The 24706-nt window shown below is 42.4% G+C and overlaps 1 protein-coding gene and 1 pseudogene across 19 annotated transcripts in view, besides 6 other annotated features; one reads left to right on the top strand and one right to left on the bottom strand.

Moving 5' to 3' along the window:
* ERBIN (erbb2 interacting protein) overlaps positions 1 to 21509 on the bottom strand; it is a 155972-nt gene extending 134463 nt beyond the window's left edge. For all 18 annotated transcript variants that reach the window (XM_047417376.1, XM_047417378.1, XM_047417380.1 and 15 more), the window contains exon 1: positions 21278 to 21509. The gene's annotated coding sequence lies outside the window, so the exon portion shown is untranslated. The remainder of the gene's footprint in view (positions 1 to 21277) is intronic.
* LOC100303749 (LSM3 homolog, U6 small nuclear RNA associated (S. cerevisiae) pseudogene) lies at positions 2511 to 3279 on the top strand (annotated as a pseudogene). Its single transcript, NR_028474.1, has one exon. The product of NR_028474.1 is annotated as an LSM3 homolog, U6 small nuclear RNA associated (S. cerevisiae) pseudogene (transcript).
* Positions 21356 to 21575: an enhancer, noted in NCBI's record as "active region_22612". NCBI's record gives its function as "activates an Ori minimal core promoter by ATAC-STARR-seq in GM12878 lymphoblastoid cells {active_cell/tissue: GM12878}" and the evidence as "EXISTENCE:reporter gene assay evidence [ECO:0000049][PMID:35858748]".
* Positions 21536 to 22160: an enhancer, noted in NCBI's record as "NANOG-H3K27ac-H3K4me1 hESC enhancer chr5:65221752-65222376 (GRCh37/hg19 assembly coordinates)". NCBI's record gives its function as "activates a minimal SCP1, AML or CMV promoter by ChIP-STARR-seq in naive H9 embryonic stem cells {active_cell/tissue: H9 hESC(naive)}" and the evidence as "EXISTENCE:reporter gene assay evidence [ECO:0000049][PMID:30033119]".
* Positions 21536 to 22745: a biological region, named in NCBI's record as "NANOG-H3K27ac-H3K4me1 hESC enhancer GRCh37_chr5:65221752-65222376".
* Positions 21656 to 22745: a silencer, noted in NCBI's record as "silent region_16061". NCBI's record gives its function as "represses an Ori minimal core promoter by ATAC-STARR-seq in GM12878 lymphoblastoid cells {active_cell/tissue: GM12878}" and the evidence as "EXISTENCE:reporter gene assay evidence [ECO:0000049][PMID:35858748]".
* Positions 22785 to 23409: an enhancer, noted in NCBI's record as "H3K27ac hESC enhancer chr5:65220503-65221127 (GRCh37/hg19 assembly coordinates)". NCBI's record gives its function as "activates a minimal SCP1, AML or CMV promoter by ChIP-STARR-seq in primed H9 embryonic stem cells {active_cell/tissue: H9 hESC(primed)}" and the evidence as "EXISTENCE:reporter gene assay evidence [ECO:0000049][PMID:30033119]".
* Positions 23066 to 23285: an enhancer, noted in NCBI's record as "active region_22611". NCBI's record gives its function as "activates an Ori minimal core promoter by ATAC-STARR-seq in GM12878 lymphoblastoid cells {active_cell/tissue: GM12878}" and the evidence as "EXISTENCE:reporter gene assay evidence [ECO:0000049][PMID:35858748]".

The raw sequence follows: 24706 nt of genomic DNA, 5'->3' as shown, positions 1-24706 counted from the left end.
CATTCATTATTCAATAGCTCTTACATAAACAATGTGCACATTAGAAATTATTTAAGATTTTTTTTTTTTTTTTGAAATGCAGTTTCACTCTTGTTGCCCAGGCTGGAGTGGAATGGTGGCATTATCACGGCTCACTGCAACCTCCGCCTCCGAGGTTCAAGTGATTCTCCTGCCTCAGCCTCCTGAGTAGCTGGGATTACAGGCACCTGCCACCATGCCTGGCTAATTTTTGTATTTTTAGTAGAGATGGGGTTTTGTCATGTTGGCCAGGTTGGTTTCAAACTCCTGACCTCACGTGATCTGCCTGCCTCGGCCTCCCAAAGTGCTGGGATTACAGGTGTGAGCCACCACATCCAGCTTATTTAAGATTTAATGCAAGAAAAATATTTGTCTCTTCTGGAGAATTCGTGACATATTTCTTCATTTAGGGTAATGAAAACTCTGGCTCCCAGGAAGCTTAGCTAAATTTGATGTTTTATCACAGCAATTATGTTAAATTACTTAAAAGTAATGTATTTCTTCACTTCTTTCCTTGGATCTGATTTTCTACTTCTATTAACTATGTATTGACATCCTATTAAGTGTCACCTCAAATCTCATCTGTAAGGAGAAATGTTAAAAATAATAATCAATGAAGCTGAACATACAGGGATCCTATTTTAAATGATTCTACTGAAAATACAAAAATTATCCAGGCGTGGTGGCATGTGCCTGTAGTCCCAGCTACTCAGGAGACGGAGGCAGGAGAATCTCTTGAACCAGGAAGGTGGAGGTTGCAGTGAGCCAAGATGGCACCACTGCACTCCAGCCTGGATGACAGAGGCTCCATCTCAAAAAAAATGGATCACAGAGGGAAATGCAAAACTATAAAACTTTCAGAAAAATGCATAAGGGAAATTTTTCAGGATACAAAAATAGCCAAAAAGTCCTGGACTTCACAACAGAAGCACAATCCATAAAAGAATAATAAATGGGATTTCATCAAAATTAAAAGCTTTTGTTCTGCAAAAGATGCTGTTAGAATTAAAAGATAAGGTATGGAATGGGAGAAAATACCTGCAAACTATATATCCAAAAACGGATCCATATAAAGAACTCTCAAAATTCAATACTTACAAAAAAAAAATCCAGTTAGAAAATGGGCAACAGATATGAAGAGAATATAGATGTTGAATAGCACAGTTAAAGATGTTCCACATATTAGCCATTAGGAAAAGGCTAACATGAAATACCATGATGAGATATACTCCTTATCTATAAGAATAGTTTTTAAAATAGTAAAAAAAAAAAAAAAAAGTAACAACCAATTGCTGGCTAGGATGTGGAAAAACTAGATCTCTCATACACTGCTGGTGGGAATGCAAAATAGTACAACCACTATGGAAAACACTCTTTGGCAGTTTCTATCCGATACACCGCAGCAATCATACTCTTATACTTTTATCCCAGTGAAAACTGGGATGTTCACAGAAAAACCTCTACATGAATATTCACAGCAGGTTTATTTCTAATAGCCAAAAATTGACAACAATCCAGATGACCTTCAACATGAAATGATTCAACAAATTGGTAGCACATGGATGCCATGGAGTACTACTCAATAAAAATGAACAAATTATAGCTATAAGCAACAACTCTGGAATCTTCCAAGTAAAAAGCCAATCCCAAAAGTCATGTACTATATGATTCCATTCATTCATTCATTCATTCATTCATTTATGAGACTGAGTCTTGCTCTGTCACCCAGGCTGGAGTGCAGTGGTGTAATCTCAGCTCACTGCAGCCTTGACTTCCTGGGATCAAGCAATACCTCCATCTTAGCCTCCTGAGTAGCTGAGACTACAGGCACACACCACCACACCCACCTGATTTTTGTATTTTTGTAGAGACGATGTTTCATCATGTTGCCCAGGCTGGTCTTGAACTCTTGAGTTCAAGTGAGCTGCCCATCTCAGCCTCCCAAAGTGCTGGGATTACAGGCATGAGCTACCATGCCCAGCCTGATTCCATTTATATAACATTTTTGAAAAGACAAAATGCAGGGGGTAAAGGGAATATAGGAGGGAGATGGCTGTGATAGCAATAAAAATAAAAAATAAAAATAAAAAACAGGTGATCCTTGGGATGATGGAACTATTCTGTATCTTGACTACCAAAATTCCAATATCCTGGTTGTGAAATTATACTATAATTCTGAAACATATTACCACTGGGGTAACTGGATAAAAGATACACAAGACCTCACAGTAGTAGTTCTTAAAACTGTATGGGAATCTATAGTTATCTCAAAATAAAAACTTAATTTCAATGAGAAATCTGAAGTGAAACATATTTATAAACTGGTAGTAGAGAGATCTGAATTTTAACTTTATTTTTATTTTAAAAAGAAAATTAGCTAAAGCAACTAAAATATCCAAGAACAATTAGAAAACTACATAAAATAGTTTATATATTTAAGTTTTAAATTGAATGGCTAAGCAGTTTTTAAGTTATAAATCCAAAGCCACTATTCGAGAGAGGAGGAAAAGGGTGCAGTGTTTGAAATACGGCAGGCAACATGGACCCAAAACAAATTACCAGCACCATAAAGGAGCTCCTGGATCTCCATCAGGCTCATCCTGGATGAACAAATTTATGTGAAAATGAGAAATGACCAAGAACTTAAAAGCAGATTACAGGCATGTGATCAACATTTAAATGACATTGGAAGAAACGGTGACTACTATAGAAACTAATGAAGAAACAGATAAAGAGATATATAAATCAATGAAATGGAATATTCCAACATTCTTTGTCCATGGAGATGGTGTCATACTAGTTGCCTTCCACTGACAGCTGGCTGAAACAAGGAATTTATCCTGTATAGAAAAATACAAGACTTGGTTCAATGGCCTCTTTAAATCTGTAAGACATTCAAAAGAGAAACCTGCATACATTTTGAAATAAATGACTCCACGATTCTTCCACTCCTAAACTGAGGAGATTTGCAGATAACTCACAACTTCCTAAGCTAAGAGGTATTTTTATTTTTCTCCAACCATTCCAATAAATGTGATCAAGATACAGAATTTTTTCAGGAGATCATTTGCTCCATTTTTTTCTTTAAATTTGATATTTGCTTTTTGATTTCTTAAAAAGACTATCAAGAGAGTAAAAATAAAACCCAGAGAATGGGAGAAAATATTTGCAAATCATGTATCTAGTAACAGACTGGGATTGAAAATATATTAACTACTACAATTCAACAACTAAAAAACAACCCAACTCAAAAACAAAGAACTTGAATAGTCATTTCTCCAAAGATATACAAATAGCCAAAAAGTACATATAAAGATACTCGACATCTCTAATTATCAAGGAAATGCTAATCAAAACCATAATAAGGCCAGGTATAGTGGCTCACACCTGTAATCCCAACACTCTGGGAGGCCAAGGTGGATCACATGAGCCCAAGAGTTCAAGACCAGCCTGGCAAACATGGTGAAACCCCATCTCTACTAAAAATACAAAAATTATCCAGGTAGGGTGGCACATGCCTATAGTCCCAGCTACCTGGGAGGACGAGGTGGGAGGATTGCTTGAGCATGGGAGGAAGAGGAGGCTGCAGTGAGCCGAGATTGCACCACTGCACTCTGGCCTGGGTGACAGAGCAAACTCTGCCTCAAAACAAAAAACAAAAAACAAAAAAACCAACAACCACCATGATGAGATACCACCTCACACCCATTAGGATTGCTATTATCAAAGAAACAAAATAGCAAGTGTTGGTGAGGATGTAGAGAAACTGGAACTCTTGTATACTTTCGGTGGAAATATACAGTGGTAGAGCCACTGTGGAAAACAATATGGTGGTTCCTTAAAAAAAAAAAAAAAAAAAAATACTAAACACAGAATTACCATATGAGCCAGCAATTCCGCTTCGGTGTATATATCCAAAAGAAATGAAAGCTGGGTCTCAAGGAGATATTTATCGACCCATGTTCATACAGCATTATCCACAATGGCTAAAATATGGCATCAACCCCAGTGTCTACCCACAGATGAATGGATAAGCAAAATGTGGTATATACATACAATGGAGTATTATTTGGTCTTAGGAAGGAAATTCTGACATATGCTGAAACACAGATGAACCTTGAGGACAATATGCTAAGTGACTCACGAGGTACTTGGTCAAAATAATAGACACAGAAAGTTAAATGGTAGCTGCCAGCGGCTAGGAGGCTTTGGGAGTTATTGTTTAATGGGTATAGAGTTAAAGTTTTGCAAAATGAAAAGAGTTCTGGAGATGAACAGTGGTGAAGGGTATACAATAATATGAATGTACTTAATACCAGTGTAGAATACATTTAAAAATGGTTAAGATATTTTATTTGTATTTTATCACAACAAAAAAGTTCAGAAGAAAAATATATAAATCCAAAGAAGGGAAATTTTAAACATTGGGTGGAAGTTTCAGTGGAAATAATGGTACTTGAGTTGGACTTGGATGAACAGGATGTACACAAAGAGGCCAACTAAGAGCTGTAGAGCAATGACTTAAAAAAAGTAATGATGGGAGAGCTTCTACTTTCATTTAAATCATTTCTCAGAATGAAAACACGCCAACATTCAAATTTCAGTTTTCCAGAAATTGTGAACATGGATTACCAAATGTTGATAATCATTTTTAAAGAAGAGATAACTTTAAAAATCTGCTTCCAAAGATTCAATACAGGTAATTTCAACATCAGTAATACATTATTCCCACATATGCTGTCAGTAAAAAAGTAATCTGATCTTAGGTAATGCAAGTGCCTGATTAGAGAGTATTCCCAATTCCTCCTTCTCATCCCTTCTAACATTCCTGTAATTCATTTCGCTCATCCATAAGCTATAACTACTGAACAGATTGTTGCCATTATCAGCAACAATCAGGGACATGTATACATTTGTCAAAACCCACAGAATGTACAACACAAAGAGTGAAGCCTAATATAAACAATAGACTTTAGCTAATAATAATGTATCACTATTGGCTTATCAATTCTAACAAATATACTGCATGAATGCAAGATGTTAATAATAGGGGAAATGGAGAAGGAGGGTTTGGGAATTTTTTACACTTCTTAATCAATTTTTCTGTAAACCTGAAACTACTCAAAAAACTTAAAGTCTATTTTTTTTTTTTTTTTTGGAGACGGAGTCTCGCTCTGTCACCCAGGCTGGAGTGCACTGGCGTGACCTCAGCTCGCCACAGCCTCCGCCTCCTGAGTTCAAGCCTCCCGAGTAGGCGGAATTACAGGCATGCGCAACCACACCCGGCTAATTTTTGTATTTTTAGTAGACACAGAGTTTCACCATGTTGGCCAAGCTGGTCTCGAACTCCTGACCTCAAGTGATCCGCCTGCCTCAGCCTCCCAAAGTGCTGGGATTACAGGCATGAGCCACTGCACCCAGCCTTAAGTCTATTTTTTAAAACTTGAGATCATGAAGAATTACACACTACTTTAAGGATAAATCTTTCTCTGAAACTTCTTGGCTCAAATATTGATGTAAACTTTTTTTGTAAATTAAGCTGTATCCAGTTATTTCTAAACTAAAAAAATAATCATCTATAACAAACTGGCGTCCGCCAAAGAGAAGATGGAAAACCAGGTCTATCAACTCAGAATTTCCTCACTTAGATGAGCCCAAAACTCTTTTTTTCTCTAACACCTATTAAAAATCTTTGGGAAATAGTATTATTCTAAAGAAACTGTATTCTTCAGAACATACCTAGGAAAATGCTGGTATAATAAGCAAAAAAAACCAACAGAGTCAGGAAACTTGGATTTCTTTTTCTAATCTGAGTTATGTCATTAATAAGCTAAATTACCTCCACATTTCACTTCTCCAACTGGTCTAACAGCTTCCTGTTGTACTAATTAAAAAGAAAAAAGAGGTGGTACTCCAGACTAGTCATTTACAGTGATAGTGAGTGAGTATGAGGAAAACATCAGTATTCTGGGGAACACACCTATCATTCACACAAAATTATCTGTTAAATATATTACAAGAAAGAGGGCCAGACGCAGTGGCTCACGCCTGTAATCCCAGCACTTTGGAAGGCCGAGGCGGGCGCATCACGAGGTCAGGAGATCGAGACCATCCTGGCTAACATGGTGAAACCCCATCTCTACTAAAAATACAAAAAATTAGCCAGGCGTGGCGGCGGGTACCTGTAGTCCCAGCTACTCAGGAGGCTGGGGCAGGAGAATGGAGTGAATCTGGGAGGCGGAGCTTGCAGTGAGCAGAGATCGTGCCACTGCACTCCAGCCTGGGCGACAAAACGACACTCCGTCTCAAAAAAAAAATACTACAAGAAAGGGTAAGGTTAAGGTCTATGAAACACATGGGACAAAAATAAACCTTAGGGTATAAGTAGTGACAAAGATCCTTTTCCTTGTCACACATTTACATGTTTATCATACATGTAAATTACATCAAGCCTACTACAATAATTAAATAAAGGCTCAAAATAACTGTCATTTAATGATATACATAATTACAGTCATCCCTCAGTATCTATGGGGGATTAGTTCCAGAACCCTCACATATGCCAAAATCTGAGGATGCTCCAAGTATCCCTCATATAAAATGGTGTTGTATTTGTATATAACCTATGCACATTCTCCCATATACCTTAAATCATCTCTAAATTACTTATAATGCCTAAAACAATGCAAATGCTACATAAATAATTGCTATATTGTTGTTATTTGTATTGTTCTTTTTTTTTTTTTTTTTTTATTGATCATTCTTGGGTGTTTCTCACAGAGGAGGATTTGGCAGGGTCATAGGACAATAGTGGAGGGAGGGTCAGCAGATAAACAAGTGAACAAAGGTCTCTGGTTTTCATATGCAGAGGACCCTGCGGCCTTCCACAGTGTTTGTGTCCCTGGGTACTTGAGATTAGGGAGTGGTGATGACTCTTAATGAGCATGCTGCCTTCAAGCATCTGTTTAACAAAGCACATCTTGCACCACCATTAATCCATTTAACCCTGAGTGGACACAGCACATGTTTCAGAGAGCACAGGGTTGGGGGTAGGGTCACCGATCAACAGGATCACAAGGCAGAAGAATTTTTCTTAGTACAGAACAAAATGAAAAGTCTCCCGTGTCTACCTCTTTCTACACAGACATGGCAACCATCCAATTTCTCAATCCTTTCCCCGCCTTTCCCCCCTTTCTATTCCACAAAACCGCCATTGTCATCATGGCCCGTTCTCAATGAGCTGTTGGGTACACTTCCCAGACGGGGTGGTGGCTGGGCAGAGGGGCTCCTCACTTCCCAGTAGGGGCGGCCGGGCAGAGGCGCCCCTCACCTCCCGGACGGGGCGGCTGGCCGGGCGGGGGGCTGACCCCCCCACCTCCCTCCCGGACCGGGCGGCTGGCCGGGCGGGGGGCTGACCCCCCACCTCCCTCCCGGACGGGGCGGCTGGCCGGGCAGAGGGGCTCCTCACTTCCCAGTAGGGGCGGCCGGGCAGAGGCGCCCCTCACCTCCCGGACGGGGCGGCTGGCCGGGCAGGGGGCTGACCCCCCCCACCTCCCTCCCAGACGGGGCGGCTGGCCGGGGGGGGGGGGACTGACCCCCCCACCTCCCTCCCGGACGGGGCAGCTGGCCGGGCGGGGGGCTGACCCCCCCACCTCCCTCCCGGACGAGGTGGCTGCCGGGCGGAGATGCTCCTCACTTCCCAGACGGGGTGGCTGCCGGGCGGAGGGGCTCCTCACTTCTCATATGGGGCGGTTGCCAGGCGGAGGGTCTCCTCACTTCTCAGACGGGGCGGCTGGGCAGAGACGCTCCTCACCTCCCAGACGGGGTCACGGCCGGGTAGAGGCGCTCCTCACATCCCAGACGGGGCGGCGGGGCAGAGGCGCTCCCCACATCTTAGACGATGGGCGGCCGGGCAGAGACGCTCCTCACTTCCTAGATGGGATGGCGGCCGGGAAGAGGCGCTCCTCACTTCCTAGATGGGATGGCGGCCGGGCAGAGACGCTCCTCACTTTCCAGACTGGGTAGCCAGGCAGAGGGGCTCCTCACGTCCCAGACGATGGGCGGCCAGGCAGAGACGCTCCTCACTTCCCAGACGGGGTGGCGGCCGGGCAGAGGCTGCAATCTTGGCACTTTGGGAGGCCAAGGCAGGCGGCTGGGAGGTGGAGGTTGTAGCGAGCCGAGATCACGCCACTGCACTCCAGCCTGGGCACCATTGAGCACTGAGTGAACCAGACTCCGTCTGCAATCCCGGCACCTCGGGAGGCCGAGGCTGGCGGATCACTCGCAGTTCGGAGCTGGAGACCAGCCCGGCCAACACAGCGAAACCCCGTCTCCACCAAAAAAATAGGAAAACCAGTCAGGCGTGGTGGCGCACGCCTGCAATCGCAGGCACTCGGCAGGCTGAGGCAGGAGAATCAGGCAGGGAGGCTGCAGTGAGCCGAGATGGCAGCAGTACAGTCCAGCTTCGGCTCGGCATCAGTGGGAGACCGTGGAAAGAGAGGGAGAGGGAGACCGTGGGGAGAGGGAGAGGGGGGAGAGGGAAAGGGAGAGGGAGAGGGAGAGCGGAGGCACCTCTCTTGGTGAAGATGCTGGGCTGGATCTGTATTGTTCTTTATTGGTGTTTGTTTTGGAGATGGAGTCTCATCCTGTTGCCCAGGCTGGAATGCAGTGGCGCAACCTCGGCTCACTGCAACCTCTGCCCCCCGGGTTCAAGCAATTCTTCTGCCTCAGCCTCCCAAGTAGCTGGGACTACAGGCACACGCCACCACACTCGGCTAATTTTCGTATTTTTAGTAGAGATGGGATTTCACCATACTGGTCAGGCTGGTCTCCACCTCCTGGCCTCGTGATCCACCCGCCTCAGCCTCCCAAAGTGCTGGGATTACAGGTGTGAGCCACCATGCCTGGCTATTGTATTTTTTTATTGATTTTCTTCTCAAATTATTTTCAATTCATGATTGGTTGAATTCATGACTACAAAATCCATACATATGTAACCCATGGATAAAGCGGGCCAGCTCTATTACTGTACATCACACTAAATACTAAGCAGTTCAAAGAAAATGTTTATAATTAGTATTAATTTCTTAGAGATAAATAAAAATCCAGTTCAGGAACAACAAGGTTGAAGAGGCCATTCTCATATGACTGATGACACCTTCAAGGGGCAGAAGAGTAGTAGCAGGGACCAATTTCTACTTAAAAGAATCAGTCCTGGCCGGGCGCGGTGGCTCACAGCTGTAATCCCGGCACTTTGGGAGGCTGAGGCAGGCAGATCATAAGGTCAGGAGTTCGAGATCAGCCTGGCCAATATGGTGAAACCCCGTCTCTACTAAAAATACAAAAATTAGCCAGGCATGATGGCGTGCACCTGTAGTCCCAGCTACTTGGAAGGCTGAGGCAGAAGAATCGCTTGAACCCAGGAGGTGGAGGTTGCAATGAGCCCAGATTGCGCCACTGCAATCCAGCCTGGGTGACAGAGGAAGACTCCGTCTCAAGAAAAAAAACAAAACAGAATCAGCCCTAGCCTGGGCAACGGAGTGGGACCACATCTCTACAAATAAATATGCAAACTGGGTTGTGCACACCTGTCACTTCAGCCCAGGAGGTCAAGGCTGCAGTGAGCTATGATCACACCACTGACTCCAGCCTGAGTGACAGAGCGAGACCCTGTCTCAAAAAAAAAAAAAAAAAAGACCTATGCCTGCTCACGAATCTATTACTATACACCCAGAAAATACAAACATATCAACTAAAATACTAAAAGCAATTCTTCAAAAGTCATCACTATAGTAGATAATAAACATGAAACTCAATTGCTTCCTTTATTTAAATAGCCAGATAATAATGCAATTGATGAAATAGCCTCATAAAAACAGAAGCCCTTGCCCTCCCTCCAAAATGTTTTTAGAAATAAATATAACAAAAATATATGGTTTCTTAAAAATAACAAATATGCGTATCAACAAGAAACACAGATATGACAAGATGAAAATCATAAATGCCACTAAAGGGCATCAAACATCAAATAAATGGGAAATCTATCTTCCTAGAAAGAGATATGCTATCGTAAAGTTATCAATGATCTTCTAAATTAATCTACAAATGCAGACCCTCTCAATCAACATACCACCAAGAATTATTATTATTATTATTTTGAGATGGGAGTCTAGCTCAGTCCCCCAGGCTGGGTGCAGTGGCACGATCTCGGCTCACTACAAGCTCCGCCTCCCGGGTTCATGCCATTCTCCTGCCTCAGCCTCCCGAGTAGCTGGGACTACAGGCGCCTGCTACCACACCCCGCTAATTTTTTTGTATTTTTAGTAGAGACAGGGTTTCACCGTGTTAGCCAGGATGGTCTCGATCTCCTGACCTCGTGATCCGCCCGCCTCGGCCTCCCAAAGTGCTGGGATTACAGGCATGAGCCACCGCACCCGGCCAAGAATTATTTTTAGAAGCTGATAAAAATGATTCATGTCCACCTGGAAAATTCATTTAAAAGCAGAGTAACAAAGCAACACTTCCAGATATTAAATATACAATGAAGGGGAGAGAGGTCAAAATAGCATAGTATCATAAAAAACACAACAAATAAAAAAAAGAAAATCCTGACATAGTATAAACATATTTGGGGATTTACTATTGATAAAGGCAGACTTTCAGAAGTAAAACGATTATTCAACAAACGGCACTACAACTAGTTAGAAATTTGGGGAGCATAAAGCTAGATTATTTTTTCACTCCTTAAGCCAAAATTTAAAAAGCTAGGTTATTACTTTTATAATCTTGGTGCAAATACTTTCCAATAATAACATTAAAACCAAAAGGCATAAAGAGACTGACAAATTTGATTACATTAAAATTTAAGCATCCATATGGCAAACACCAGAGCCAATGCATAAGGATAAGCAACACATCAATAAAAACCATGTAGAACACAAAAGGCACACTGTATATGTACTATACCTAAAAGAATTGACATTTAATTTTTCAATGTCATAATTAGTAAGTCGTGGATTTAAATCCAGGCAATCTGACTCCAAAACTTATGTTCTTACATACTATACTATATTGCCTCTCTCAGATGTCCACAAGTATTATAAGACAACCAATACCCATTTTGGTCAAAAATGCATACAGGTAATTTTATATACCATTGATGGAAGTACAAATTGATACACACTCTTCAGAGGGAATTTGATTCTAGCTAGCTATCAATTTTAACTACACATACCGGAGTATATCTGGGAGATGGAATTGTGGAGAATTTTCATCTTCTATGTTCTATATTTCTATGTTTGAATTTTTACAGCAAGATTATTTTTATAATTGGGGAAAAAACAGATTAAGGTAATTGTTTTTACCCTCTGCCTATCAAAAGCCCTTCACCTTATCCAGCCTTCCTATCCTACCCTAAAGTGTCTCACTCTGTAGACATTTGTAAGACAGAATCGACAGAAATTTCAATTACTAAGGTCAGGAAAATAAAGATGACTCCTAGGGTCCCTGGCTTGGGAATGGCTTTTAAAAGAGCAGACAGGACCCTCTGTTGATACCAGGTATCCACGACAAATCAAAAAGCATCTACTATATACAGTCCCTGCTATTTTGCAGTCAGCATCAAGACAATAAACTAAATCTTCTGAAGTCCCCAGGGATTAATAGGGCACCCAAAGGATCCATTTGATGCTGCCAAGATCCTTATCTTTTCCTAGAAGACTGAGAGATTTATTCTAGTCTCAAAGGATATGCCTCTTAAATCACTTCCAAAATCTATAAGGAAGAGGAAAGTCAAACCAACTTATTCTAGGTTGTGTGATAACCTTGGCAACAAGATTCATTTTTAGATCACTAGTTTCTTGCACTGGTCCTACTACAAACATACCCTCCTCTCCCCACCCCCCCTCCATCAGACCTCCCTCCATGCTCCCACAAAGAGTCTAGAGTGACCTAAGGTGTGAAATTCCAAGAACACCATTATTAGGTGCTTCAAGACTTCAGGATCATGCAAACAATATAACCTGAATATATGAAAACCACAGCTGGGTGCAGTGGCTCACACCTGTAATCCCAGTACTTTGGGAGGTTCGAGGTGGAAGGATCACTCAAGCCCAGGAGCTGGAGACCAATCCTGGCAACATAGTAAGACCTCTACCTCTATAAAAAATAGAAAAATTAGCTGGGCGTGGTGGCATATGCCTGTAGTCTCAGCTACTCAGGATGCTGAGGTGAAAGGATTGATTGAGGCCATGAGTTCAAAGCTGCAGTGAGCAGTGATCATGCCACTGCACTACAGCCTGGGCGACAGAGCGAGACCCTTCTCCAAAAAAGAATAAAAAAGAAAAACACAACTGCATCAAAATCACTGCACTCATACTGAAATTGAGCAATTATCTCCACAAATAACTTGTCCAATGTAAAGAGTAAAAGTACTGGATTTCTTCCATCCTCCTTTCACAGTCGCCTCAAGAATTACTAAGGAATGAAATATTTCACATAAATGTACTTTATCACGGAATTAAAACTTGCCTTTTTACAGTTTGGAATTTTATCTCTTTAGAAATACTTCAGAAATTAATTGGACTGCAGACACTTCTGGCTCAAAAATGTTTGAACAAATGTTTACCTTAACTTCCTCACACACATAACATATGGAAACAAAACTATTTCTCACTGTTAGAGATAAGTTACAAGTATGGAAAGGGGAAAAAAAACAACTTAGAGTGAACCTGGTGGTGCTGGATTAGAATTGCATTATAGAAATATGCAGATGCTCCTCGATTTACAATGGGTTTACATCTGGATAAACCCATCATTTAAGCCAAAAATATCACAGGTTGAAAATGCACTTAGTACCCCAATAAAACCCCTGGTAAAGTCAAAGAAGTATAAATCAGGGACCATTGTATATATTTATAGATATATAAATAAAAATAGATGTAAATATGTGTAAGTACATAAAAATATTTCCTAGCTTTGTATATGAAGAGGGCCTGAGAGTAACAATACCCTAAAAACAACAATGTACACAAGCCCCAGATCTTGGCTTCTAAGTATCATTTTCCACTAAAAACAACCAGGAAAAGTAGAAGATATGTTAGAACATCTAATTGTGCTAAAAAACAAGGAGTACTCAAAAAAGGAAGAGGTATCAAAAACAAAAAAGAAAATAAGCCAGGGGGTTCTCACTGGCCAATCAAGAACAATTTGAGCACCAAAATAAATAGTAATGCATTATGTCCTTGCGAAGATAAACCTAGGTACATGTAAATAAGTGAATTTAAAATATGACAAACAAAACAAAATATTTACATAGTTTCAAAGCACCTACCGCAAAATATTAGTTAATTACAAACAGGGAATGAATACCTTAAAAAGGGCAAGTCTGGCAGCCACAACTTTAATCACATAAAGTGAATACCATAATAGGACACACTGAAATTGCCTGCCACCTGATAAGACGTAATAAGAAGAATGCAGCATCACTTTTACAATAACCCTGCCAAAGATCTAATCATAAAAATCTAATCAAAGATCTAATCATGAAAAATATCACACAAATGAAAATTGAGGGGTATTCTACAGAATAACTAGGCCTGTCATCTTCAGATCTTCAAAAGTGTCAAGGCCTTGAAAAAAAAGAGAAAGAAATTATTCCAGATTGAAGGAGAATAAAGAGATGACAACAAAATGTAACACATGATTCCAAACTGGAATAGTTTGCTGTAAAACACATTATTGGGATAATTGAGGTTCAGATGTTAGTAATATATTCATGTTTACTTTCTGATTTTGATGGTAATGATGTCATTATATGCAGGAGAATATCCTTGTTTGTAGGAAATAAACATTAAAATATTTAGGGGTGACGGGCTGGGCGCGGTGGCTCACGCCTGTAGTCCCAGCACTTTGGGAGGCCAAGGCAGGCAAATCATGACATCAGGAGATCAAGACCACCCTGGCTAACACGGTGAAACCCCATCTCTACTAAAAATACAAAAAATTAGCCAGGCGTGGTGGCGGGCGTCTATAGTCTCAGCTACTTGGGAGGCTGAGGCAGGAGAACTGGCGTGAATCCAGGAGGTGGAGCTTGCAGTGAGCCAAGATCACGCCACTGCACTCCAGCCTGGGCGACAGAGCTCTCAAATAAAAAAAAATATATATTTAGGGATGACGACAGGGCATCATGTTAGCAACTTAGTCAAATGGTTCAGGAAAAAAAATGTTCAAACTTTTCCATATGTCAGTCATTGTTTCAAAAATTAAAATTTAATTTAAAAATATCTATAGCAGTGCTGAAAACCTGGGAGGGGTATACCTACAGATAAGAACAGAACGGAATTTATAAAGAATACAAAGTAGGCTGGGGTCGGGGAAATAACAAAATGCAATACACTTGAGGAACCAGACACCCAAAACAAGAAGAAAGTGGGATCTCCAAAAAAGATGAGTTTTCTTAGCAAGAAGGATTAAGAGAAGCATATCCTGAGCGGTCAGCCAGAGAGCAAAACCATAGTAAAACACTGTGTAGCTAAAGCCTCTAGTACAGCTCTATGTATGTAGGAGATGTGACACTTGGACAGTGTGATTATGAAAAAAGGAGACTGCCTCCTGAGGAACAGTAAGCACCTGTACCAAAAGGTCAAGCTACCCACATACCTTCAAAGAGAAACTCGTTAAATATTTCTCCCTTTCCTCTTCTAAGCAATCACCAAAGCCAGAAGAAGGATTCATTGGGCTGGGAACATATATTTAAATGACCAATACAGTAGAGACTAGGTCATCATATAAAACTTTGACTACCATGAAAATCTAGTATTTGAAGAAAAAACAAAAAGCATGACATACACCAAAAGCACAGTAAGATCAAATTTTCTGTAGTGTTAGTAGAATAAACAAAAGACAATGTTAAAAGAACATCTCAGAGATTAAAGGTTACATGCAGACCAAAAATAGGGCTAGAAAACCAAAATTGGGCCAGGTGCAGCGGCTCATGCCATAATCCCAGCACTTTGGGAGACCAAGGAGGGAGGACTGCTTGAGGCCAGGAGTTCAAGACCAGCCTGAACAACAGAGCAAGAACCCATCTCTACAAAAAAAAATAAAACATTAGCCGGGCATGGTGGTGCATGCCTATAGTCTCGGCTGAAGGTGAGGTGACAGGATAGCTTGAGCCCAGGAGTCCGAGGCTGCAGTGAGCCGTGAGTATGCCACTGCACTCCAGCCTGGGCAACACAGTGAGATCCTGTCTCAAAAAAATAAAAACAAAAATAACTCCTATGAAAAACTAGAATTCTTAGAAACTCTGTTCCAAAAACAAGTAACAAAATAACTGAAAACAAATGAAAATCAAGTAAGTGGGCTTAAAGATCAAGCTTCAACACTCTCCCAGAATCCAATACGAACAGACAAGAAAAAAAATTTAATTAATGAAAGTTCCATAAATCCCAACTTCCACCTAAGTTCTTGAAGTGCAGTCCATAGGCCCTGGAAGTCCACAGTCTCTGGAAGTCCCTGAGACACTTTCAAGGAACCTTCCAGGTCAAAACTGTGTTTATAATATTGAAATGTCATTTTTCCCTTTTCCATTATATTTACATTTTACACTGATGTTGCAAAAGCAATGGTTGCAACAGCTAACACCTTTACAAGAACAAAGGCAATGCCTTCAAGCTGCAATAGTACCACTACATATTCCCAGGTTTATGTCTTTTTTTTTTTTTTTTTTTGAGACGGAGTCTTGCTCTGTCGCCAGGCTGGAATGCAGTGGCGCGATCTCGGCTCACTGCAACCTCCACCTCCCGAGTTCAGGCAATTCTCCTGCCTCAGCCTCCTGAGTAGCTGGGATTACAGGCGTTTGTGACCACACCGAGCTAATTTTTTGTATTTTAGTAGAGACAGGGTTTCACTGTGTTGTCCATGGTCTTGATCTCCTGACCTTGTGACCAGCACTTTGCGCGGTGGCTCACGCCTGTAATCCCAGCACTTTGGGAGGCCGAGGCGGGCAGATCACCTGAGGTCAGGAGTTCAAGACCAGCCTGACCAACGTGGAGAAACCCTGTCTCTACAAAAAATACAAAATTAGCTGGACATGGTGGCGCATGCCTGTAATCCCAGCTACTCAGGAGGCTGAGGCAAGAGAATCGCTTAAACCCGGGAGGCAGAGGCTGCGGTGAGCCGAGACTGCACCACTGCACTCCAGTCTGGGCAACAAGAGCAAACTCCATCTCAAAAAAAAAAAAAAAAAGAAAGAAAAGAAAGAAAATCTTCCTCCCTTTTCCAACCAAATACCTGTATAAGGCTGGATTTTCTTCATATACTTTAGCCAAAAGAACATACTGTAACAGATGGAGTGAAGAAGCAGATATGAGAATCGAGCTGTTTTCTATTAAGCCAAACATAAGAGACTTGCAAAAATATAAAACATTGCCACTATTTTTGCTATTTATTTTAGAAAACAATTATATTTTTATTAAAACAATGTTACACTAACATGCAATAGCTTATTTTCAAATAAATTAATTTTTTTTAATTTCTGTTTTGAGTCAAACCAAAAAGTCTGAGAACAGCTGCCTTAGGACTATTACTATTTCTTGTAATTATACCATATTATAACAGAGTGAATCCTCCTACAGGGAAATGAAATGTACAAGGCACTTAGCCTCAAAGTAAGTTGTCCCAGATTATTTTCTAAGTTATTCAGTCATCTTTCCATTTTTCTATTGCTTCACTGTAACACCACAGGTCATAACTTCACAATGCTGTAAACGTACCTTTCTCACGCCTTCTGGGATACCAAAGAACCAAAAACAGCTCATTATGTACATAAGTAAATGGGCTCTGAATAATAATGGCCCTAAAAGTGAAGTCCCCAGACTCTGTCATACCTGTTGTGATTAAGGAGATGTCATTTTTTATTTTCTAGTTTTTCTACTACATTCAATATGCTTTTAAAGCTATAATAAATAACCTCCAGATAAGTAGAGTCTTATTAAGTGAATTTTTAGATATTCTCCTTTTCTATCGTCTTCCACAAAGTGAATTTTTAGATATTCTCCTTTTCTATCGTCTTCCACACTATCACTTAAAGCCTGGCAAGACCTTCATTCAATGGTGTCTGGAACAAAATTTGAAGTGACAAAAATAGAGTGATAGAGTACTATTGTGCTTATTTCATGAAATCAAAGAAAGATAATTTCAAAATTTTAGGGATTCTGTGTCAGAGAAGACATCTAACTTGAAAGGTAGGACAGAAGAGGAAGGTACAGAGAAGAAGGAACAGAGAAATATATCTGTATGTTTTAAGAGGCCAAAAGTATAATAAAACAAGAAGGTAGAGAGGGTTACAAAGTCTTAATACATAAGAATAAATAACAACCTGGTATTATCTTAACAGTCAATTTTAAGAACACTAAAGAGAAAAAGGAAAACTGAGAAAACAAAGTATAAAACAAACAATGGCCGGGAGCGGTGGCTCATGCCTGTAATCCCAGCACTTTGAGAGGCCGAGGTGGGCAGATCACGAGGTCAGGAGATAAAGACCATCCTGGCTAACACGGTGAAACCGCGTCTCTACTAAAAATACAAAAAAATTAGCCGGGCACAGTGGCGGGCGCCTCTAGTCCCAGCTACTCGGGAGGCTGAGGCAGGAGAATGGCGTGAACCTGGGGGAGGCGCAGCTTGCAGTGGGCCAAAATCTTGCCACTGCACTCCAGCCTGGGCGACAGAGCAAGACTCCATCTCAAAATAAACAAAGCAATATACTGATGAATATAAAGTTAAAATACCAGCATGTACACTTAGTTGAAATGCAAAGGGGATATTCAGAATTAAATGGGCTAATAAAATAAGATCAGATAAACTTTTTCCACTGCATGTTTTGAACAGTTTTTTGAGGTGATAAACATAGACTAACAGTTTGGAAAAGAGGGAAATGGCAAAATATAATTAAGAACGACCAACTGAACACAGAGAAAATAAGGCTAGGTAAATGAAGCTAACTATAAATATAGGAAGCTAAGGGAATCAGAAGAGAAAGCTGAATAGCAGCTAAGTTTCTTTTTTACAATTAGGAAACCTAAGAAGAGACAGCTAAAAAGTGAATCTGAAAAATGGGAGTTAGCAGTAGGCCGGGCTCAGTGGCTCACACCTGTAATCCCAGCACTTCGGTAGGCCAAGGTGGGCAGATCACCTGAGGTCGGGAGTTCGAGACCAGCCTGGCCAACATGGCAAAACCTGTCTCTACTAAAAATACAAAAATTAGCTAGGCATGATGATGTGCGCTTGTAATCCCAGCTACTTGGGAGGCTGAAGCAGGAGAATCGCTGGAACCCGGGAGGTGGAGGTTGTGGTGAGTCGAGATTGTGCCACTGCACTCCAGCCTAGGCAACAGAGCAAGACTCCATCTCGAAAAAAAAAAAAAAAAAAAAGAGGAAAAGACAAAGACATCTTTAGAGGTTTATAATAGAGATGTATTCCCAGAAAAAGAAAACGGAAGCAAGCATGTAACAAATTCAAGAAATGAATGAGCAAGGCAAAGAGTCAAAATGCAAGCAGCCAAGTAGGGTATGTAAGGAGAATCTGGATAAGCAGCAATTACGAAAAATAAAAAAGAAACTGCTACCCAGCATCACTAAAATTCTGCATAATCCCAAATACTCTGTAAGTACTGCCATAATCTATTTCCAAAACAAAAGCAGCTTAAAGTCTAAATCGTATTATCCGTAAGCAATTATTTCAAATAAGTAATTTTGAAATATACACCTATTTTCTGAAACTTTTAACTATTTCTTAAAGGGTATTATTTACTACTAATAGTGCAATACCAACAATGTGTAAAATAATCGATTTTTGAGATTTGCCAATGATATATGTTAATGTATCTATAGTTATCACTTCATTAAGAAACAGCATACAATAAAAATTTGGTTTCCATGTTTGTACCTCTGTAAGCTTTTTATACATAAAGTTTACAATAGTTTGATCTCAAATGGCAAGGAGACCTCGTAACAGTACTACTTGAATCAGTTGAAGTCCTGAAAATTCATGATTACCTTCAATAAACAGAGCCTTTAAGTGTGTATTTTGTGCAATATAGACTTTGGAAGTACTCTCTATTTGCCAATTTAATCTTTGAAAATCCACACCATACTAGAAGAATATCCAAATTTTGAAGCCATTTAAAAATATTTTAACGGATGACTCCTCTATTAACCTCTTTTCAAACCTTTGTCACAGTTTAAACAAAGCTTCGAAAATACTTATAGTTTCACAATAGTATAAAACCTAAAATTTAAGTTAATTCGGTGATAAACTAACAGAATTCCAAGAAAACTACGAAGTAAATTATGCCTTGTTGAGGAGAAAAAAAAGAAACACAAAGGTGAACACCTCACTTCATAAAACGTGTTGTCTGCATCGAAACATACTACTCTTCTCCTGAGAAAAAAAATCAAGAACTAAATCTAAAAATAGAGGCTTAAATAGTCATTTTCAAGTGCTACAATACTTTTTTTATACAAAATTTACTAATAAATAACCATCTTCATAAAGCGATAATTCTCTGTAAGGGACTTGCTCTATTAAGGTTTTGTTGCTTTTGAAGCCAAGTATAAGCCATATAAGGAAACTGAAGTTCAATGCCATTTATTTTGTTCACCTCTTTCAGATGCCCAAGAATAACCTCTTTTGCAGCCTAATGATACGTTCCAAAATCATAAAGTAGATGAGTTATGCACTTTAAATTCTTTGATAAAGCTAGTTTGACTTAACAAGAATTATTCCATGGTTCACAAATCTTACCAACAATGAAAAAAAAAAAGAATCTCCTGAGACCATGCCCCGGGGAGGAAAAAAAAAATCAAAACTACAGTAATAAATAAAGGACTGCCTTTGGAGATGTACTTAATGAAGCTGAAGTAGCAAAGAACAAATTGTGAAATAATTTGATCCTGATCTTTAAAACTTATTTTTTCTCTTTGAACTAAAGAAAATCAACTCTCTCCTCGGGTTTCCGGTCATTACGTGAGACAGCATAGGCAATCTAAACATCAATATATATTTAGGATATACCTACCAACAGGATTACCAAATTTATTCAATATATATTCAAAAGTACAGTATTGTATTTCACCTCCCTGTACCGCAAAAATACCGGGAAAAAAAGTAAACAGAAAAAGACTAAAACACCACTGAAAAAAACTTTGGGTTTACTGCTATCAAAACTAGTCCCCATTGGTTCAGAAGTGTTCATAGCTCTGACTGGTGGAATGTCTGCCATGCTTCATGAATCCTGCCCCCACAGATGTAGGCAGAACCTATCACTATTTATGCAGAACCGACCAAAAACATTTGGGACAACACAAAAATGTAAAGACCATACTACTCGAAAAGCACAGCTTTTTATCACAATCACTGTGATTCCCTTGAAAATCGTTTTAAGCGTTTTACTTCCCCTCCCATCGTCTGTTCTGAACTGTACAGAAGTCCTATTAAACGTCTTACAGGTTGTTAATGTTGTTTAATTATCTCTCCCTATTCTTAGTCCTTACTCCTTTTTTCTTCGTAATGGATCAGTTACAAGAAAAGCCTAGTCGATCCTTGCTTTCAATTAATTAAACAAGTTATACGGCGCTAAACGTCTGAAAAACACACACTACACACAACTAAAGAAATATATTACTCACCCTGAAAAACAACTAAGAATGGCAAGATTTTTTGGTTTCTAAAATCTAACTAAATATACTGATCAGGGTTGGAAATAAAAAAATAAAAATAAATACCTCTATATACAATTAACGCAAGCGCCAATATAATCGGTATGAGTATAAACAAACGCGGCAGCCATCTCAATAACAGCAAATCACTCACTGCAGCGACCAAACTTTCTTCCCAAACAGAAGGTGCCTGGCTGAGCAACTTAATATACACTCTATACGTTCCAGAAAGCCAAAACTTCTGGCCCCTGTGCTGAACAAAGGCAATCGTTCTTCGGATTACTAAAAACTTTTCGTCCCACCGCATTCTTACAACCTCTTCCAAAAAATTCAAAGTCCAGATGGTGGGGGGGGCAGGGGGGAGAAGGGACGCGGTGGGGTGCAGTTCGATTATTTAGCCCCTCAATTATTAACCGCTTCGATATGAGAAAAGGAGGGTTTAGGGCAACTTGGAGAAGAGTGAAAAACACTAAAGAATCATCTCTTTTCCGAGTCACAAAGTCCCATGAACTTTGTGACTCAGAGACACTTTTCGTGAAAATTACCTTTCGGCGGGACACCGTCTCAGGGCAGCTTTTTCAAGGCTTCGCTTGACATGATTTCCTTCCCTTCATCAGTCACTTTGGATCCAGCTGAATATCTCTCTCGGGTGAGAGCGGATGTGGACTGGCCTCCCACAGAAGAAGAGTAGGTGGCTTTGGTGGGGGTTGGGGTGCGGGCTGGCTTCCTGGTCTCGAGTTTTGCAGGAGTTTCCCAGCCCCAACGAGGATCTCCGCCGAAAAAAAAAAAAACAAAACTTTTCACTCGTGACACCGCCCGGAATTGCAGTGCGAAACTCACTTCCTGCCTTGGCGAGAAGCAGGATCCAGCTCCGTCCAGGGGAACCCGGAAAACCAGCTCCGCGCGCACCGGAGAGGGGGAGGGGAGGGGACGGCCGCCGGGAGCCTCGGGTTCCGGGCAACCGGCGCGCCCGGCACACCGGACGGCAGCAGCACCCGGCCGGCGGGGGCGAGGACGCTGCCCGGGCGCTCGGCGAGCCTCGGCCGCGCTAGGCCGCCACCGCTTCCTCTCCGTTGCCCCCAGAGCCGGGCGGCAGGGTTATTGTCTCGATAGCGCTTGCCGCGCCCTTCGTCCGCGACGCCGCTGCCGCCGCCACCCGGAGCCGGAGCCGAGGAGTCGGGCAGGCTCAATAGCGGCCCCCTCCCCGGGCCGTCCGTCGGGCCGTCCGTCCTTCCGTCCGTCCCTCCCCGCTTTCCCTACTCGCCCTCGAACCCTCTTCTCCTCCCTCTCCCGTTTTCCCGCCACCGTCCCTCCGCTGCCCTGCTTGTTCTCCTTCGCCAGCGGCGGTGGCTCCCCGAGACGCGCAGGGGGCGGGAGCAGGAGGCAGCTCCGTCTCCTCACGAGCTTGCGGGGCCGCGGCAGGGGCCGAGACTGCGTCCCGCGCCGCCGCGCCACATTCACTCGAGCGAGAGACGGCGAGGGGAGGGAGGACGGAGGGAGCGGAGAGAAAGGAGGAGGAATGGGGCAGGGGCGGAGGGGAGTTACTGCCTCACAGGCCGCGGCGGCAACAGCGCCACCGCCCCGGCCGCGACGGGTGAAGAGGCTGCGCGCCGCGACTCTGCGGCGGGGGCGGGGGCGGGGCGGCCTCCCGCCGGCTTCGCCCCAACCGCCAACAGCCGGGCAGGAGGCCTGCGCGGGCCAGTCAGCGCGCGGGGGCGGTGCGGGCCGACGTCGGCGGCTGGGGGCAGCGGGCCGGGGGCCGGGGGAGGGGCAGCCGGCGGCCGTGGGTTCGCGTGCAAGGCGCGCCGTGAGGCCCACTCTGGCCCAGGCCCCTCGAGGCCTGCCCGCTGCTCCCTGCCCGCTCCCCGACCCCGCACTCCCGGACTCCCGAGCCCCCCAGGGTGGGGAACGCTGGCAACGCCGACCCTGCTGTCTGCTCGCGGCCCAGCGCCCAGCCAGAGAGATAGAGAGCCCACAGGCCTCCGCCGCGCCGGCCGATGGAGTTTCTTTGTACGACAGTAATCGGTGCACAGGGGTTGTTGGAGTCCAGCCCTGATTTGAAGGCAGCAGGTATCTCTTGCAGCTGCAGCACTCCAACTTCCTCTAATGGCACGGTCAGGTCGCAGGAAACCACAGCGGCAGCGCGGTGCAGCTTCCCACGCCCGCCCTTCGAGCTTGTTCCCCAGCGGCGCAGCTCAGCCTCCTCCAAGTCTCAGCCTCATACCGGCGGGGAGACAAAGCTGGCGCTGGGAGTGGGAAAAGGGCCCGCGAAATGGCCTCAAGATCGTGCCTTTGTTAGAAGAAACATGGGTACGCTCCGATGCGACGCAGGCTTCCAACCCCAGCGGTTCGGTGGTGGTGCAGTCGTTGAATTGCGCTGGCCCTAATAATTCAGCCTGGCAGGGTTCGCGTTTATTGCGGAGAGAGACTCTTAAGCATTCTGTCAACACATATGGCAAATAGAAAGCCTCAACCATAACATTGCACAGTTTTTGCAGTTCTTGCTTTAAATATGTTCACAGAAAAGACGGCCTTGTTTTACCCAGAGAAGGAGCGTAATGCGGAGCGAACCATTCGTCACCCCCATTCTCTGCTGCACTTAACTGTGTACAGTGATGATAATTAGCCTCTGGGTCCCTGAAGTCCCTGGTTCAGTTCTTCCGTCTGTATTCTAGAGATAATTATTTATTACCAAGTTTGAATAAAGAGCTATATCCCCTACAGACCTTTTTTTTTTTTTTTTTTTTGGCTTGCCAATGGAAAGAGTTCATAAATTCCACCAAGTAATCATTTACCAAAATGAGTTGTACATTAGTTGCAAACACTTGAAATAACGCCGAAGATATTCAAGTCATTTTATTCAGGTTGGGAGCATTTTTAACTACTTGAAGAACTGCTGGAATTAATACAGATGTTAGGTTATTTAGCATACAGCAGAAGTTGAAGATTTACAGGTAGTACTGAAGTGTTCAGATATATTCAGTGCTGAATTAGAGGTAAGAGTATTCGCTGGAAGCTAGGAAATGGCAGCAGCTATGCCAGTGTTACCAAGCTGGATATCTATGTGAAAATGAATCTTAACCATTGCATAAAAAGCTAAAGTTAGCATATTGTACAAGCTATTTGTAATCATCGCTGGGAAGATTTCTTGCTCCGTTTTCAAAAACCGTTTTGCGCCTGATCAGAACTCAGTGGCATAGCTCTGAACTGAAAGGGTCACTCTCCTAAAGCATCCCAGGATGGAATATCTCCCATACTAGTGGAAAACCAGCTAGATTCTGGGATTCCAGTGTTGCTTCTAATCTCAGGTTGATTCGAGACCCCTTTAAATGTGATGCCATAGATTCGAGTAAACCTAACCCTCCTCTCTAAACTTAACTGATCAAGCCACTGCTTTAGGCTAAGACTTGCCCTGGTCCTAGCCTTTTTAAAATTTATACTCACACTCAGGACCAATCTGACAGACTACCATCTAGGCTAGAAAAGTACCTATAATCAAAAACCCTCCAACTCACCTGAAATTCTGCCATTAGAGTTTTATCCCTTTAAGTAGTTTTTTTCTCTAGCACAAAACCATAATCCTGGGAAAAGTAATATTTTAATCCTTATTAGTCATTTATACCTAATTCATCAGATTGTTTCCCCAAAGCAGCTTTTGTTGGAAGGGAAAAATAGAGATAACTAGAGATAACATATGCTGAGGCTGAGTTGATAGGAGACGGAAATATAGTCTCATTCCTTGGAGCGTTATATAGAGAGTAGAGGATTACAGGCAATAAAAGGACCCTTTTGATGGCTAAATAAGTCCTGCTTACTCATACTGTAAGAATGAGCCACCTAATACACTGGCCTTAAGAGGATGGAATCTGGCCGGTTGCAGTGGCTCGCACCTGTAATCCCAGCACTTTGGAGGCTGAGGCGGGAGGATTGCTTGAGCCTAGGGGTTCAAGATCAGCCTGGACAACATGGTGAGA

The sequence above is a fragment of the Homo sapiens genome, chromosome 5 (genome assembly GCF_000001405.40).
Source record: "Homo sapiens chromosome 5, GRCh38.p14 Primary Assembly".
Taxonomy (NCBI): Eukaryota; Metazoa; Chordata; class Mammalia; order Primates; family Hominidae; genus Homo; species Homo sapiens.
Note: the sequence above shows the minus strand (reverse complement) of the source record. Positions and strands in the feature narration are given on the sequence as shown.